General features: G+C 41.6%; 1 protein-coding gene and 1 pseudogene across 3 annotated transcripts in view, besides 1 other annotated feature; one reads left to right on the forward strand and one right to left on the reverse strand.

Annotated features, from left to right (window-relative positions):
* The window catches only part of TNFAIP8 (TNF alpha induced protein 8), a 130930-nt gene that overhangs the window by 30747 nt on the left and 81085 nt on the right, over positions 1–19098 (forward strand). Inside the window, exon 2 of one of the 3 annotated variants that reach the window (NM_001286817.2) lies at positions 16676–16797. The exons of 1 other annotated variant lie outside the window; for it this stretch is intronic. The gene's annotated coding sequence lies outside the window, so the exon portion shown is untranslated. The remainder of the gene's footprint in view (positions 1–16675; positions 16798–19098) is intronic. One more of the 3 variants, NM_001286815.2, reaches the window with a different exon arrangement.
* RN7SL174P (RNA, 7SL, cytoplasmic 174, pseudogene) lies at positions 6838–7126 on the reverse strand (annotated as a pseudogene).
* Positions 18816–19075: an enhancer, noted in NCBI's record as "active region_22969". NCBI's record gives its function as "activates an Ori minimal core promoter by ATAC-STARR-seq in GM12878 lymphoblastoid cells {active_cell/tissue: GM12878}" and the evidence as "EXISTENCE:reporter gene assay evidence [ECO:0000049][PMID:35858748]".

Genomic DNA, 19098 nt, shown 5'->3' on the forward strand with positions numbered 1-19098 from the left:
AGTCTGCCTCTACTGGGGGGTGCCTCCCAGTTAGGCTGCTTGGGGGTCAGGGGTCAGGGACCCTCGTGAGGAGGCAGTCTGTCCGTTCTCAGATCTCCAGCTGTGTGCTGGGAGAACCACTGCTCTCTTCAAAGCTGTCAGACAGGGACTTTTAAGTCTGCAGAGGTTACTGCTGTCTTTTTGTTTGTTGTGCCCTGCCCCCAGAGGTGGAGTCTACAGAGGCAGGCAGGCCTCCTTGAGCTGTGGTGGGCTCCACCCAGTTCGAGCTTCCTGGCTGCTTTGTTTACCTAAGCAAGCCTGGGAAATGGCGGGCGCCCTTCCCCCAGCCTCGCTGCTGCCTTGCAGTTTGATCTCAGACTGCTGTGCTAGCAATCAGCAAGACTCCGTGGGCGTAGGACCCTCTGAGTCAGGTGCGGGTTATAATCTCTTGGTGCACCGTTTTTTAGGCCCGTCGGAAAAGCGCAGTATTAGCGTGGGAGTGACCCGATTTTCCAGGTGCCGTCTGTCACCCCTTTCTTTGCCTAGGAAGGGGAACTCCCTGACCCCTTGTGCTTCCCGAGTGAGGCAATGCCTTGCCCTGCTTCGGCTCGCGCACGGTGCGCTGCACCCACTGTCCTGTGCCCACTATCTGGCACTCCCTAATGAGATGAACCTGGTACCTCAGATGGAAATGCAGAAATCACCTGTCTTCTGTGTCGCTCACGCCGGGAGCTGTAGACTGGAGCTGTTCCTAATCAGCCATCTTGGCTGCCACCCCCAGTACCTTCTTAGCAGGAACTTGAGAAAATCATGGTAATCACATCCTCAGAAAGAAGGTTAAATTTGGTTCAGCGTATTCTCTTTAAGTGTGGTACATTTTAGAAAGGGTAAAATTACAATGAGCTTTACTGCTTTACAGGAGAATCTTCAATCTTTAAAAAGTAGACCATCTAAAACAAATGTTATTTGTAAAAGCACTGAGTAATGGAATTTTTTTGCATGTCCTTGCAACTTAGAAACGATATTGCATTCCTGACTCAGTCTATTATCAAAGCATATAAAAGAGTGATAGTTACCATTTTTTCTTGCTTACTATGTACTTCTCTAAGGATCTGTTTTCCAGTCTCATAATTAACATTCTTAAAAAGGTAGTTTTTTGTTCCCGTTTTGCAATGAGGAGGGTTGAGGCACAGAGAAACTGAATAACTTGCCTGAGATCCAGCAGCTAGTCACTGTTAGTGCTGGCTCTGCTTGACTCTACAGGCTATGCTGTTACCCCTTTATGGTTGCATTGGAACATATTTTTCATTAAAAGCCTTTTCCCCACAAATTTCAGTTTAACCTATGTGTTATGCTTTCTTTATGGAATCTATGTGAGGTAGGTGAGAAAGAGGAGGTGATATTTTCCTAGAGGGAAGAATTGCAGGTGCAGATGGGAGTTAAAGGCAGTGACCATCTCCGAGGCACAGTTTTAGGGTGCCTCACACTAAAAGCATTACAAGTGGGCCCCAAGCTTTGATTTGAAGGTAGTGGAAACAGTTGTTTGCAATTCAGAATTCAGATCCTTATTCATTGGCAAGATTATCATAAGTCTCCTAACCAGTCTCCCAGCTTCCGGTCCATTCCTGGACTTGCCACCCAGTTGCATTACTTCTTATGTAAAAACCCTCAATGAAATGGCCTTACGTTCCTACAGATTAAAATCTGAGCTTCGTAGTTTGGTGTTCAGAGCTCTTCATGTCTTCCTTCATGCTGTTTTTCTATCCTCCCTTCTATTGTTCCCCATTGGGCACTCTATGCTTATGCCATCTAGAATATTCCACAATTCTTACCCCTCTGTCAGTTGGCTTGTTCCCAGTGACTATAATTCCCTTGTCCGCCTTCTTTACTGGCCAGATCCTATTCAGTCTTCAAAGCCCCAAATAAAAAAAAATCATCTCCTATGGGAAGCCTTCTCCAGTCCTCTCTCAGCAGCAGCAGCTGCTTCTTTCCCTGGGTTTTCATGACACTTTCTGCACACCTTGATTATATGTGGTTTTGCCATTATTTATATGCCATAGCTCCTTCAGGCTGGAGACATTGGAGTCCCATCTGTATCTCATTACTCAGGTCTGAGTCTAGCACGAGGTAGGCCCTCAGGGAATATGGGTGGAATTAACTTTTTTGTAGAACTGTGATTTATGATTTTTGAAATGAACAATCTTAAAGATAGAAAATAAAAATACATTTAACAAGTCATCTTTATGTGAAAAAAACAACCAGGAATCAACCTGGAAGTATTAAGGCACATATTTGTAGTGGACCAGAAACGCAGTCCTATTTCTTAGGATAAAATATATTCCAAGTGCCAACCCAGATACTGAGGATATTCCCACTATACCTTCCCTACTCCAAGATCTCATTTAACTTTTTTGTATTGGGGAAGATATGGGAGAAATGAAAGTCTAGGAACTAGAGAGGTGTGAAACAGATGTTCCTAAGAATTTTCTAGTTTATCTTCAGGAATGAAGGTACCACTTTGATTACATAATTTCCAAGGTCCTGTCATGCTCTGAAATAGTTTTAGTTGTTTCAGTCCCCATCTCTTAGCAAATAAGGGAGGAGTTGGTTATTCACTCACCAGATATTTTGAATCATAGGACCATTATTTAGTTGTCCTAGTTGGGGTCAGGCTAACTGGCCAGTGCATTGAACTTGACCTTCAAACCACCTGTTGAATTTGGTTTTAAGGTATAGCTTCCCTGTAACTGCTCACTGGTACTTTATGAGATAGAAGATCTGTGCTCTCAAGGGTGACAACCTCAAGAAACTTACATTCCAAGAGAGAGAATCCAGAAATATGGACATCCTTTTATTAGAGAAAATGATTTCTAGAGAACACTAAATAGTTTTTTTCTCCTCTATTTTTAGTATGTTTCCTGCTAGAATCCCATTTTCTCCTCTGCTTCTAGTATGTTTTCAGCTAGTCACTGGGTAAATGTAAAAGTAAAAATTCACCTGTCTTTGGGAAGGATGTTTTGAAAATGATTTATTTTTCTCTTGAGAATTGGCTCTGCTGAACTGTCAAATTATTCACCTTTATCATATTGAATAACATCATCTTCTGCCACTCCTTTTACCCCACAGTCTTTCAGTGGACATTTCGTGAGCTCATCTGGAGGGTGTTGCTCACTTGACCATCATCTTTTCATTAGGTTAGCTGGATCAGTGCGTTAATTTCCATTCATAATTAACACTTAAAGCTTATGACCTAAGATCGTTCACCTGCCAAAACAAGCAAAAACACCAAACAGCAAACTCTCTTATCATATGCTGAGATGAAAAGGAGAATGCTTTTTATATATTCCTGGGCTTTCTCTCTGCCCTAATTTTGCATCATTGTTGAAGGAGAGATGCTTCCTAATTGAGATTTCCCATTCCTGAGTGGAGACATTATTGCGAATTGTTACGCAGTCAGCCATTAGAAGTACAATTTCTGCCGTCATTCATTTGATTTTATCATGTGTTAGAACTTTGCTTGGAAGGACCTTTCATGTCTGACACACTCTTCAGCTCCTCCTCCCTGTTAGAAAGACTCCCTTCATGTGCCTAGTGCCCTGAAAAAACCACACACTAGGAAATGAGGAAACCAGAGCCTGGTTTCCCCACAGATTCCTTTAGGGGAGCAGCTATGCAGCCAGTGTAAACATTCCAATTCAATTAGAGATAACTTCTTGGTTTTCCATTACCCATGCCAGTGAGGTCATGAAGAATATGCTTACTTTAATGAGTACTGTGTTTTGTTTAAAGTGTATGTCATCTAGAAAATGCTCAGAGTTTGGAAGTCAGAGGCTTGGGTCCCAGTTAATGTTTTGCCACTGACAACATGTTATGCAGAAGGTGTTTCACCTCCTTCCTTCTCCCTCTGCTGTCTCATTCCTGGTACAGTATGAGCAGTGCTGTGTGCTCTGTAATGGGCTCAGTTAGATGGACCTGTGCCTCTTGTGGGTCAGTAAAGCTACATACCTTGACTTGCACCTCAGAGCTCTCAAAGGTTGGTGACAGGGCTTTTGCTTCCCTTATCATTTGGGTAGAAGTGGGTGTAGTAGATCCAAAAAGATGTGTAATGGCATATTAACCGGAAAGGTTGAATGCTTGCTTCAGACAAGTAGAACATAAAATAAAAACAAGTTGAATTCAAGTAGAAGTTTCATGCAGTAACCATGAGCAGCAACACAAACAACAGGGAGACAGAGAGAGCCTCTTCCAAGCAGGGCCACACAGATTCATGAGATGGTTCCCCTTCCCAGTTCTTTAGTCACATTGTTTAAGTGAACCCTATAGTAAGAAGTAAATATGAAACAGCCACACTTAGTTTCTAGAACCTTGTGCGATAGCTCCCCACTATTGTAAAGGGGTGAAATATTTTACCTAAGTAAACATACCCGGTAAGTGAGTTCTAAATGTCAGTATTTGAATGGAGGTTTTCTCAGCCTTTTCTCCCTCTGTCTTCTGAGTATAAATGGAGTGACTGCCCTCCTGAGTCTCCTTTCTTATGGCTTGAGCGATCTTTCTACGATACAGATCGGATCCTGTCATTCCCCAGCTTGAAATTCTTTCTGATTTTCTTTTTTCCTTTTTTTCAAATTTAAGTTTAATTTTTATTTTTTGTAGAGATACGGTCTTGCTCTGTTGCCCAGGCTGGAGTGTAGTGGCATGATCATAGCTCACTGCAGCCCCAAATACCTGGCCTCAAGTGATCCTCCTGCCGCAGCCTCCTGTGTAGCTGGGATTACAGGTGGCTTGGCTAACCCAGCCTGAAATTCTTAAAAGTGCTCCTCCTGCTTTCAGAATCAAGTTCAAACTCCTTCACCAAACATATTAAAGGCCTCTTTATCTGGTTCCTGTCCAGCTTTGCAGCCTCATTTCCTCCTGCTTTTCCAAAGGCACTCACTCTGTGCTTTTGCCATTCTGAACTGTTTCTTACCTCTAAACTAAACACACAATTCCCTATAATGGTCCCTCAGTGACCCACAGGGAAACCTGATCCCCTTCCCTGATACCATGCACACACCATAGGCAAAGTCCTTAAAACTTGCACCTTAGAATTACCTGAATATGATGCCTAGTCCTCACAGTTACTCTCTGGTTGGGAATGTTGTGCAAAGACCACGATTGCATGAGCTCACTTCTATGAGATGAAAGTAACATAACTGTTCCTGTTTTCTTTCCAGAGGATAATTTCCTGTCAGTGAAACTGATACTATCCTTTTAGAAATTATTTTCAGTTATCTTCTATATCAACTGTGTAGCACAGGTTTCCCTTTTGGATGCATCAGGAAGCAAATCAGCATATTTCTGTTTAATACAAATTGATTGAAGTGATAAATTCTAACTCTGTGTTTGAAGCTGCATTGTACCAGAACAGAAAAGTCCCAAAAGAATGGTGAGGTGAAAATTATCTGAAAAATGATATATAATTAAAATCATTTATGAATGAGTCAGTGTAATCTGCATTCTGCTTGACATAAAGAGAAAATACCACATTCCTGGGAGGGAGGAGGGAGGTGAACGTCAATCTGTAAACTCCAAGCTGGAATAACAGAGGAAGAGCTATTGGAAGTGTAGATTCCAGTGCTGTGAACTCCCAGTTATAAGATCACTCTGTAAGCAGAATCTAAATAAGCTGATTTACAAAGGAAAATAAAAGGTTTCAGAAAATATGGGGTATCTTAAAAAACCTCTTTGATAGTCATTTTCGGGCTTTCTTCCCTCAAAAATGAACTGATTTTTCAAATGACTATTTTCTTAATTGAATATGTTGGGAAAGATACATATTTTCTAGTTCTCAAGGAGGAGATGAAATTTCCAAATATCTGTTTCAGTTTCTAACAACTATTAAAATGTATAGGCTTTAATCTGAGAATATGTAGATGCATTTTATTTGAGTGGTCATATCAATTCTAATTTTAAAGGTCATTTGGGCCTGGGTGTGGTGGTGTACACCTGTAGTCCCAGCTGCTCGGAAGGCTGAGGCAGGAGGATCACATGAGCCCAGGAGTTCAAGGCTGTAGTGCACTTGATCACACCTTTGAATAGCCATTGCACTGCAGCCTGGCAACACAGTGAGATCCCATCTGTTAAGAGTTTTTTTTTTAAGTCATTTGAAACAAAGTTTGTTAAACTCCATTGCCTCAAATCTACTTTTTGCACTTTATAAAGGTTATCTAAATTTCTAGACCTCGCTTTATAAATGACACATTACAAATACCCAAATCATGATAGCTCAGGTATACTGTTGGAATGTTTATGGAAATTACTTTGCTGAGGTATGGGTAGGCCAGAGGAACCTGCATGTTAATAAGGGTCCCTTGTTCATTCTTGGATGGAGGGCCACAGGGTGAGCAACACTGCCCTAAAATCTCCATCCTCTGAGGGCTCTTGAGGGTTCCCACTTACCTGTGCCGTGCACCTGGCTCCGGATCCTTCTGGCCACCCTCCAGTGTTGCGTGTGGTTGGCCTTGTAATGGACTGCCTGCGCCGCCCTGCCCTCAACCCCGCTGCCCACCACCTCCCAGATAAGGAGACTATATTGCTGTTTCACACCTCCATCCTTCCAGAAAACAGGACTTCCTATGAATTCCTCTGAATTACCAACCCCCTCTACCTCTAGCGTGGAGAACAAGCTATACCTTTTGGCAAAACTTGCCTAAATGATCAGAAAACAGAAAAGAAGCAGAAGAGCTAGGTGCTTAGGATCTCCTAGTGAATGTCTTCTTTCTTTGATCCTTACATTTCCTTCTTTGATCCTTGCTTTGCTTTGCTTTTCTCTTTTCTTTTTTCTTTCTTTCTTTCTTTTTCTTTTTTTTTTTTTTTTCCAAGATGGGGTGTCTCTATGTTTCCCAAACTGGAGAGCAGTGGCTGTTCATAGGCGCAATCCCACTACTGATCAGCACAGGATTTTGATCTGCTCTGTTTCTGACCTGGGCTGGTTCTACCCTCCTTAGGCAACCTGGTGGTCCCCTGCTCCTGGGAGGTCACCATATTGGTGCTGAACTTAGTGTGGACGCCTGATCGTCATACAGCCCAGAACTTCTGGGCTCAAGCGATCCTCCTGTCTTGGCCTCCCAAGTAGCTGGGACTATGGGCACATGCCACCGTGCCTGGCCTTGCTTTTCATTTTTTTTATGAAATATGTTTTTTAATGAATAAAAAATTTTCCTAGGAGTGATTTTCCCAAAAGGGATACCCTGTCCCAGTGATTATCCAAGCCATTACCTTTTAGGAGCCTAGAATGGTTTATACTTGGTTGGTTGGTTGGTTTGTTTCAGAAGTAATATGTATTCAAGGAAACACCTCATACTTAAATAAAGGCTATAGGGTAAAGTAAAATAAAACAAATAAGACATCTTTCTCTTTTTCTACTTTACAGTTAAAAGTAGCTTCCCAGAAATTTCCTATGCATATTAAGGCATGCACGTTTCATACATATATGTACAAATAGGATCAAACTACTGTTTTTTGTGGACTCTTAAGATGCTATTGATTGGTACAGCCCAATTTCAAATATGTTAAAATATGAAATGATGTACATTTTATAGTTGATGACATACAGAAAATTACTCTTTGGGACTCGCCTTTTTTCCACATTAAATACTTTGAACATCAGTTCATATTAGGAAGGAGAGAAATCTACTTCATTCTTTTTCTTTCGTAGTATTCCATATTCTAAATCCATATTAAGATATGTATTCTGTATTCCAAGTCCACAAATATACTATGGTTTAAGAATTCGCTTATTGTTGAACATTCTTGTTCTTTACTGATTTTTATGTTATAAATAATGCTGCAATAAACAACCACGTTTATATGTCATTACATACAAGCAATTATATTTATAAGTTTCTGGAAGTGTAATTGCTGAGTCAGAAGGTGTACATACAGTACTTTTTTTGTACAACTTAAAAAAATCTTTTGCTAGCTTCTGTGTTTTTCAGTGTTAGAAAGAACCAAACACACAAATGAGCAGCTTCTGCCAAGGTTCCTTGTAGAGAAAAATTTCTGGAAAGATGGATAGATGCATATAGTTAAGCATCTCTATGTATCCATTCATACCATCGTGTTTCAATTCTAAGGTGCATATTTTTCATTTTTTAACAATTCTCAATTGGAGATATGTTGTATAATGCAGGTGCACAGATAATACTACAGTCTTTTCCCCAAAAAATTCTGCGTTAAATTGTGCATCTTACAACCAATGGTATTTTAGAATCATGGAAATGCAAGTGTATTTTAGTAAGACTGTGTGTATATATGTATATGTCCTTCAAGATTTATTTGGAAATTATTCTAATTTAATAGTGAGAATGTAGTTTTAATTGTTTTCCCATTGGAGCAATCTTGGAAACAAGCCAGAGTTTTGCAGACACCCCATGTTTATCAGTAGCTAGTACTGTCCTTTGGAGTCTGCACATGTGATTTAAAAGCCAGCCTTCATTTGCTAAAGAGCCTCATTGCAAGGAAAAATCAAATCACAAACAGCACCTTGAAAAATACTAATATCATGTTACTTAGAGAAGTTAGAAGTTTATTCTAACCCCTGTAATTTACAGATGAGCAAACTTCTTGTGGTGCAACATGTGGCATTTTGCACCTCTTGCCCAACTGATAATTGATATTAAAATAATATTATTAGATAAATATTACAGGAAGGCACACTAGTTGTGAACTGATAGCGTTCTTGCAAATGACAGCATTCCCTCTTTCCTGCAGGTTTTCCAGAAGTCTGCCGCCTGTGAACTCTCCTAGGGGAATCTGTATCATTTCCCAAGGGCTTGGTGTTGGCAAGTTTTGTCCCTCACATCTGTTTCTCTCTTTCTGTTTAATTAGCTTTGAAATCTATATTTTTCTCTCTTCTACGTTTCCCACCTTTTTTTTTTTTTTTTTTTGGTTTCCCAGCTGTGTGTGCAGTGCATCATGTAGGCTGTGCCTTCCTGCCTCTTGGCACTGAAAGGTTTCCATTGCATCAGGGTTGGCCTTGGGAGGAGGTCTTAAACAGTTGGCACTTAATAAATGGTCTTGACTGTATAAGCTTTTTTGGTCTTTCTTAAGACCATTCTAGGCTGGGCACAGTGGCTCATGCCTGTAATCCACCACTTTGGGAGGCCGAGGCGGGTAGATCACGAGGTCAGGAGTTGAAGACCAGCCTTTCAGGACGGTGAAACCCCATCTCTACTAAAACTACAAAAATTAGCCAGGTGCAGTGGCAGGTGCCTGTAATCCCAGCTACTCGGGAGGCTGAGGCAGGAGAATCTTTTGAACCCAGGTGGCAGAGTGAGCCAAGATTGTGCCACTGCACTCCAGCCTGGGTTGCAGAGTGAGACTCCATCTCAAAAAAAAAAAAAAAAAAAAGACCATTCTGATATTGCACTGGAAGAGCATCTGAGCCAGCGTGCTCCTTGTTGCTCCATTTGACTCATGCTCTCTCCAGTTATCTATCATAGCCTGGTAAAAAGGCAAAAGCAGTTGTGCATGTATGTGATAAAATTGCTAAACTGTTTCTTGTTAACTGTCAAGTGGCATTGAAGGAGACAGTTATTTACATTTTCAGTTGCTTTTTGTGAAATACAAAGATCAAAGACCTTTACTGCAGTTTCCTCCTCTACTCAAACCACAACTTCCTTCCTCTGTGTTAAAAGCCTCTGCAACATGCATTGGTATTCTACTTTCTCACCTTCAGTGACAAATAATAATTTTATTGTGCCAAGATGAAATGTGGTCACTTGAGGGCTTTTCTGTGGGTGCCTCTGCATCTCTGAATGGACACCTTTGGAAGACACTTACCATACTTTCAGCAGCATTTTTAGTTTTTATTTGTTAAAGGAAAAAAAGACTGTAGAAGTGTTCCTGACTAGATTTCAATCCTTTTTTGGTTTCTGGACCCTTTTGAGAATCTGATGAAAGCTTGAGGGTGGTGATGCTTGTCACAGGGGCAGCTGCCACAGGGGCAGCTGTGGCTCGCTCCAGCACATTCTCCAAAAGGGATTCCCTTTCAACAGTTGTTTAAATAAGATGGCAAGAAGATGGCTCTCAAGACTATAATGAAAAGATAACAATAGAGGAAATGGCAGAAGAGCAGGGTGGGTAGTTCTGCACGTGATCGAAGCATCGGTGTTCAGACTATGGGAGGAGCAGGGGAGGCAATGTGGGAGCATTCAGAGTGACTCCCCACTCACAAAAGACACATCACCCCAGTCTCAGGACATTCTGATAACCCCAAAGCCCATCTAGGGGCTGCTAGGGAGTCTGTGGGCCTCAGGTTGGAAAATTCTGCTCTTGTCTTATTGGCATTTAACATGCGGGCTCAAGAAGTCTGGGGCGGACCATTACCTGAATTTCAGCTCTAATGCTTCCCAAGCGTGAGGCTTTGGCTAGTCAAGTCATTTGCTTCTTTAAGCCACTGTTTTCCCACTGAAAATGGGAAGAAATAAAACCAGACACACAGGACTGTGGAGGGCCAACTGGGATGACCTGAATAAAACATCTGGCACATTGTCACTTAGTAGGATCTCAAAAAGTGGCTGTTCTTTTCCCTTCTTCTGTCCATCTTTGATTTCTTTTATGGGGAGAGGTTTTCTTCCCCAAGGAGATGGTTTTTAGAGCTGTGGAAATCAGCTACATTGAGGCTAATTGTATCTGTCAGAACTCAGATGCATTTGCTGATGTAGAGGTTAGGAAACAGATGTCACTCTTTCGCTCCCTGGACTCCCTCCACAAGATGAGGTACTACGGCTGGTAGACACTGGGCTGAGGCTAGAAACATGGTAAGGTCGTCCTGGGAGAGCCCTGAGTGGAGGGAATTCTGTGCTAATTCCCAGAAATTGAACTTCTCCTAGGACAGTTACCCCAGCAGGGATACTTCGCTGGAGAAGGCCAAAGGCTGTAGGCCAAGGCAGCGCCCACTGGAGGACTACAGGGCACCTCTCACGGTAGGGACAAGGAAGAAGATCTCAGAAAACTTTGAGAGGAGAGAGAGCGAAACCTGGTCTGGGCCAAAGCCTAGTCCTGAAGGCTTATTAAAATGCTTTGAGGCCAGGTGCGGTGGCTCACACCTGTAATCCCAGCACTTTGGGAGGCCGAGGCAGGTAGATCACTTGAGGTCAGGAGTTTGACACCATCCTGGCTAATATGGTAAAACCCTGTCTCTACTAAGAATTAGCTGGGTGTGGTGGCACGTGCCTGTAATCCCAGTTACTTGAGAGGCTGAGGCGGGAGAATTGCTTGAACTGGGGAGGCGGAGGTTACAGTGAGTGGAGATTGCGCCACTGCACTCCAGCTTGGGTGACAGATCGAGACTCCACCAATCAATCAATCAATCAATCAATCAATACATTTCTCTGAGAGCAGGGGTTGGCCCTTCTCTCCCCTGTCTGGTCCCCTTCTCCTTCCCCATACTCTTAAAACCTACTTAAGAGTTTTCAAACAAAAGCATTATACTCCAAAGCCTTAAATATTCCTAGCTTTGTTTTGGTGTTCATTTTATCTGTTTTTTGTTTGTTTTGTTTTGTTTTATTTTTTGAGACAAGGTCTTGCTCTGTTGCCTAGGCTGGAGTGCAATGGCATGATTATACCTCACTGCAGCCTCAACCTCCTGGCCTTGAGCGATCCTCCCACTTCAGCCCCCAGTGTAGTTGGGACTATAGGTACACATCACCACACCTGGCTAATTTTTAAAATTTTTCATAGACATGGGGTCTTGCTATGATGCCCAAGCTGGTCTTGAACCCTTGGGCTCAAGTGATCTTCCTGCCTTGGCCTCCCAAAGTGCTGAGATTACAGGCATGAGTTACTGTGCCCGGCCTTGGTGTTCATTTTAAAGGAAACAAAAGGTTGAAATGGCACTGTGAATTTTGAACAGTCAAATAAATATTAAAAACCCAATGAATGGGCTGGGCGTGGTGGCTCACACCTGTAATCTCAGCACTTTGGGAGGCCAAGGCAGGTGGATCACAAGGTCAGGAGATTGAGACCATCCTGGCTAACATGGTGAAACCCCGTCTCTACTAAAAATACAAAAAATTAACTGGGTGTGGTGGCGCACCTGTGGTCCCAGCTACTTGGGAGGCTGAGGCAGGAGAATCACTTGAACCCAGAAGGTGGAGGTTGCAGTGAGCCAAAATTGCGCCACTGCACTCCAGCCTGGGTGACAGAGTGAGACTCCGTCTCAAAAAAAAAAAAAAAAAAAAATCAGTGAATGAACTCATATCAATGGAACGGGCAAATAAGGTGATTAGCAAGAGCAGAGTAAAATTATTAGGAAGTGCTGATGAAGGGACATTGTGGGTGTTCACCCGTGAAGGAGGGACAAAGCTCTGGTTTATAGAGTTTGAGTGTTAAGCAGAGGAATGAAAGTATCCATAGACCTGTGGTGCTTAACAGCCTAAATGTTCATCAAATTTAACCAAACCTAGTTTAACTAAGGTTAACTTTGTTGCAGTACTACCACAGGATGGACTAGTGTGGAACCATGACAGAAAGAAAAAAGAGCTTTATATATTGACTATGAAAGATACACTATAGTATTAACTTTTAAACTAATGTATATAATATGGTCCTGTTTAAGTAAGAAAGAAGGTGGTAGGGCAAAGGATAGGCATGCTTATTTGGTATTTAAAACTTTGGGAAAAAAAATAACCAAATTATTATCTGGGATTCTAGCTGGGAATGGATTGGGGAGGAGTCTGGTTTGACACAGCAGTTTGAGCCAGAGTTTGGAAACAGAGCTGGATTCAAATTCTGACTCTGCTCTTTCTGCTATTGTAACTTGGCAATTTGCTTAACTACTTTCTTACGTAAAATGGAACTCATCAAAGCACTGACCTCATATCACGAGGATGAAAATAAGATTAAAAAATACTTAGTTCAATGCCTGGCTCATAGTAAGTGGTAAGTGCTCACCATATTTTAATTTTTACATAGAACATGTCTTACTTTTTCATTAGAAAAAAAGAAAATAGAGTTATTTCAGTGGGAAGTAGTGGTTGAGGTTAAGAGGCTTAATGACATACACCGGGACTCAAATGACACCGCCAGAGGGGGCACATTTGTTTAAAGGGAAGAGTGTGAACTTGTAAAGTTTAGGAAATAAGAATGTAGCTGGGCTCGGTGGCTCACGTGTGAAATCCCAGCACACTGGGAGGCCAAGGCAGGGTGGATCCCTTGAGCTCAGGAGTTCGAGACTACCCTGAGCAATATGGTGAAACCCTGTCCCTGCAAAAAATACAAAAAAAAAAAAAAAAAAAAAAGAATATGAAGATCTACATTCAGAAGGAAAATGTTGGGTAACTACAGTGAAAGAATACCAAAGGGCAGAGGTTAGCTCTCAGATCATGCAGAATAGGCAAATGTGGTAATTAAAAGTTCTGTAGATTCTGAATAGAATGTACATTTTTAAAAGGGAAAATGAAGTTCACTAGGATAATCTGTACTTGGGAAAATAGGCTATCTAATAAAAACCGGGACAAATACTTGTTTTGATTATTATTATAATCCTTACTTGGCTTAATATTAAGAAGGGTTAAATTATATTAAAAGAACCTCAATGAAGATGGGGAAGAATTACACTGAGAAGATATTATATGCAGTGAAAATGGTTGACAGTGCTTCAGAAATTTCCAGAACAATTGGGTAAGAGTGGTCAGCTTCGTATTTGTCATTTTTGTTATAGATAATTAGTTCAAAGCCAAGAATCTATATTTGAGTTCAAGACTACTTAACAGCTCCAAAGAAAATTCTTCTGCTTATTTTAAAAGCCCACTTTTTGAAATCTGCCACAAGCTCAAAGGAGTTTTACAGAAACCTTAAAGGTACTTGGAAGTCTGAGGGCACTCAGCTTGTAATGAAACATGAGGCTTTGGGGGCCAGGGTGGAGGGAGAGAAGGAAGGGGAGTAGGTTTTGCTTTCACTTTCTTGAGACCACCATTGCCAGAGCTGCCAAACCCCCAAATCCAGAGATGTTATACTGTTCCTAAGGGTCTCATAATAGGCACGGGCTTTGACATTTTCTTTTATTTTAAAGATGCCCTACAACAGGGAAGATATGCATTTGCTAAAGTTTAGTACTTGCCAAAATATGATAGCCTCCTTTTTAACAAATGATGTTTATTAATAGAATTGTCAGTACCTTTAATAATTTCATGGAAGTACAAATTATGTGTGCTTATTTTAAATTCTGGGACTGGTATGTTGTGAAGCAGCCTTAAGATGGAATGCTTTTATTTGGTACATATAAACATAATGTGATCCTTGTGCTTAAGAAGTTTATACACTAGCTGGAGCAACAAGGCTCAAGCACATGAAACATTTTGCATCTCACTTAGCTTTTGAATTAAGTGCTAAAGTGTATGCTGCTGACCAATTCATTTATTCAGCAAATATTAAAGTGCTTATTATTCACTAGGCATTCATGTGTGGGTTTTGAGGTTAAAGGGACAAACAAAATTAAGTTAGTTTTCCTTGCTATAGACAGAGTAAATGCAACTAGCATAAAATCTAGTAGAGGCAGCATAATTACTGGTTAAGAATGACCTGTGTCATGACACATGCCTGGCATTACAATCCCAGCTACTTGGGTGGCTGAGGCAGGAGGATTACTTGAGCCCAGGAATTCGCATCTAGCCTAGGCAATATAGCGAGATGCTGTCTCTAAAAACAAACAAACAAACAAACAAACAAACAAACAAAAAAACCATGTCTGTCGTCTGTTTTGTTCATTTGTGAATCTCCAGCACATGGGACAGGGTCTGGCCAGTGGTAAGCACTCAGTATTAGTTGCTGACTGAATAAATGCTGATAGAAATAGTCCCTGTCCTCTTGGAACTTACAAACTAGTGGTAAGACCAGGTTTTCCCGGATATGTTCATATGTTCTGTGAAATGTTTCCTCTCTCTGTCATATACACATGCACACACACACAAAAACAGACAGATTCAAAGACATACACGGTGCCCTGTGGTCTTGTTGATGGAGTCTGGAACAAAATTTGTGTATCATGCATCCTCTCCATATCCACAAACTTTTCTTCTAACCTTGTCCAACCCAAATCAGTAAGAACTTGAAACACTCACAGGTGGTAGAGTTGAGTTCATATCACTGATTGGGATTTGTTTTTTTGTTTTTGAGAACCAGAGAGACAGTACTGTGTAGTGGTTAAAAGCATCAGCTTTGGAGCCAGAGAGAAATAGGTCCAGGTCCTGGCTTTGCCTTGGATAAATTTCTTAAGACTGCATAAGCCTCAATTACTTTATCTATAAAATGAGGACATTAATAGGACCTGCTTTTCAGTGCTGTCAGGAGTTAGTAAGATTAAAGCATGTATGGCGCATAGTAAAGTACTGTACTCATCCTAACCACTTACTACAAGTTACCAATTATTTATTTTTTTTCATTATTTTCTGTCACCTAGGCTGGAGTGCAGTGGCATGATTTCGGCTTACTGCAGCCTCCACCTCCCGGGTTCAAGCAGTTCTGCTGCTTCAGCCTCCCCAGTAGCTGGGATCACAGGCACTCACCACTACGCCCGGCTAATTTTTGTGTGTGTGTGGTTTTTTGTTTTGTTTTGTTTTGTGTTTTGTTTTTCGAGATGGAGTCTCTCTTTGTTGCCCAGGCTGGAGTGCAGTGGTGCGATCTCAGCTCACTACAAGCTCCGCCTCCGGGGTTCTCACCATTCTCCTGCTTCAGCCTCCTGAGTAGCTGGGACTACAGGTGCCCGCCACCAGGCCCAGCTTATTTTTTGTATTTTTAGTAGGGACAGGGTTTCACCATGTTGGCCAGGCTGGTCTTGAACCCCTGACCTCAAATGATCCACCTATCTTGGCCTCCCAAAGTGCTGGGATTACAGGTATTAGCCATCTCACCTGGCCATAAGTTACTGATAATTCTTATTCCTGAAATGGGAGAAGAATCCTTATTATGTGTGTATGCATGTGTGTGTCTCCTTACTTTTTTCTTATCAAAAAAACAACAGACAATGTGTGTTGGCATAACCAGTAGATTGGCACACATTTGATGAGAATACTGTAGCCACAGTCTAGCTCCCAGGGGAACAGTGCCTTTCAGGGGCAGTGCTGTGCCACTGTCTGCAGAAGTTGGAGTCAGGCCCAGTGTTGTTGAACACACTGAGGAAGCTGGCAGAAGACCCCGAGGTGTAATGGACAGGAGGGAAGCATGTGGGCTGTTCATGACCTTGGAGCTTTTTTACAGGAATCAAGCTTTGCTGTCAGCTCCTGACAGGTTCCTGGTAGTGTCGTCTATCTGAAGATGAACCCCACCTCCACCACCCACACACACAGAAGTCTTGATTGCAGTTCCTGTGTGGGTCCTCTGGGTGTCTTCACACACACAGATTTGTTTATTATTTTAAATGAACTTGGCATTTCTCTGAGGCTGGTTTAATGGTGCCCATTAAAGAGATGGCAGCTCCAGAGTTTCTTCATTGTAGAGCTGGCATTTTACCATGTGAGGAAGTAATTCTGTCTTCCTACCTGTGAGGCTTATTTTCTAAATCTCCAAAACTGGAGTGTTTTTAGTTGCAATGTTAAAGCTGAAATAAATTTTTATGCACTAGTTCCTGTTCACCTAAAAGGGTAAAGAACTTTGCAGATTAGAACTACAGTTGACCTTTTTCTAGTTCTTCCACTTTTTTTTTTTTTTTTTTGAGACAGGATCTTCCTGTGTCACCCAGGCTGAAGTGCAGTGGTGAGATCATAGCTCACTGCAGCCTCTAACTCCTGGGCTCAAGCGATCCTCCCACCTCAGTCTCCTGAGTAGCTGGAACCACAGGTATGTGTCACCATGCCCAGCTAAGTTTCATATTTTTTGTAAGAAACGGTTTCGCCATGTTGCCTAGGCTCTTTTCGAACCCCTGGGTTCAAGTGATCCTCGCATCTCGACCTCCCAAAGTGCTAGGATTACAGGCGTGAGCCGTCACACCTGGCCTTCTCCACTTCTTTCTATGTCCCCTAATCATGTTGATTCTGGTACCAAGATAAAGAAGACCCTAGTGTGGAGAGATACAATGCATTTTTGAGTTGGGTTAAATTGATTAAATGACTTACTTGATGGTATTGATAAACTCTAAGGCAGAGATTCTCACACTTGGCTGCACATTAGAATCTCTTTCAAAAATCCAGGTGCCTCAGGCCTACTCCAGACTAATTAAGTCAAAATCTCTGAGGGTGAGACTCAGGTATCAGTATTTTTAAAACCTCCTCAGATGCTTCCAACATGTAGCCAATTTAAGAACCAGTGCTCGAGAACATGGCTCTCAACTGGGGGCAGTTTTGCCCTGCCCGCAAGAGACATTTGGTAATATCCAAAGACAATTTTAGCAAACTGGGAGGGGTTTGCTGCTGGTATCTAGTGGGTAGAAGACAGAGATGCTTCAAAGCATCCCACAATGCACCCAAAAGCTCCCCATAACAATTATGTGGGCCAAAATATCAGTAGAACCAAGGCTGAGAAACAATGTTCTAGAAAAATCAGGCTGAAGAAATGCCAGAGCAATGTATATGCCTGTTGTGAGGAAATAATAGCATGTAGAACTTTACATTTTTAGCCACCCGGCAAGATAATAAAAAGGAAGTAGTTTTGCCTCTGCCCTTTGAGCCTCTTCTGCGTCTGCCATCATGGAGGCCTGTCCTTGTGGCTGGTGCACCTCCTGGTTCCGATTTCTTGGGTAGGACTTCTTCCTGTAGTCCATAAATTTATTGTACTTGAATGGCTTGGAAGAAGACCCAAGTTAAGAACATTAAACCAATAGAAATTAGCCAAAATAAATAATTTTTAAATATGCTTTTAAATTGTTTGGCCTGATATAAAGTTTTCTAAAATTACAGAATGAACCATTTGAAAGTGATTATATAAGAAATTATATAAGAAATCTGATTCTATGTGCTGTAGAGACTTTTTATTCTTTCTTCCTTTTGATTAGATAAGGGGAGGCTAAGAAAGGCATTTTTTAATTGTATCAAAATCAGTTTTCTTTAATTTTGAGATATTCAGGATGCTTTCATAGCAGGTTATATTGACCTATATTTATCATCAAATATTTACCTTATATGATAATAATAATAATAATTATTATTATTATTATTTGAGATGGAGTCTCACTCTCTTGCCCAGGCTGGAGTGCAGTGGCGCGATTTCGGCTCACTGCAACCTCCACCTCCCAGGTTCAAATGATTCTCCTGCGTCAGCCTCCCAAGTAGCTGGGATTATAGGCATAGGCCACCATGCTGGCTAATTTTTTAATTTTCGTAGAGACGGGGGTTTCACCATGTTGGCCAGGCTGGTCTTGAACTCCTGACCTCAAGTAATCTGCCCGCCTTGGCTCCCAAAGTGCTGGGATTACAGGCGTGAGCTCCTGCACCCAGCCCTACCTTATATAGTTGATATCATGATCTTTATTTCCTTTGGACACATCCACTTTTCCAGAGTGTGGGACACATAAAAGATCTTCGTCATAAATAAGTTGTGTTTTTTTCTTGTATGCAGTTGTCAAATTTAGTCTTTAATCAAGGTGGTGAATTTAATTGACTTACCACCTTGATTAATTATATTAATTAATTATAGTCAAACATTAATTATAGTCAAACTGTTTTCTTCCCCAAAACTGATCAAAGTAGTCACAGCTCTTGAAATGCTCTGAATTCATTGATCTTTTGCAGGTGATTGATTGACACTTCTTTTTTTTTTTCAGTTTGTCCCTTTAAACGGGGATTTCAAGTGGTACCTTTAGTGCTCTATATCAGCCTTTTGTTCTAGAATGGATTTCTTTTTGAGACAGGTCTCCCTCTGTTAGCCAGGCTGGAGTCTGGAGTGCAGTAATGTGATCACAGCTCACTGCAGCCTTGACCTCCTGGGCTCCAGCAATCCTCCCACGTCAGCTTCCTGTGTCGCTGGGACTATATGCATGTGCCATCATGCTTGGCTAATTTTTTTTATTTTTTATTTTTGTAGAGACGGGGTTCCCCTATGTTGCCCAGGCTGGTCTTGAACTCCTTGACTCAAGTGAACCTCGTGCTTCAGTCTCCCAAAATGCTGAGATTACAGACATGAGCCACTGTGCCTAGCCTAGAACTA

This window comes from Homo sapiens, chromosome 5 (assembly GCF_000001405.40).
Source record: "Homo sapiens chromosome 5, GRCh38.p14 Primary Assembly".
In the NCBI taxonomy this organism is placed as follows: Eukaryota; Metazoa; Chordata; class Mammalia; order Primates; family Hominidae; genus Homo; species Homo sapiens.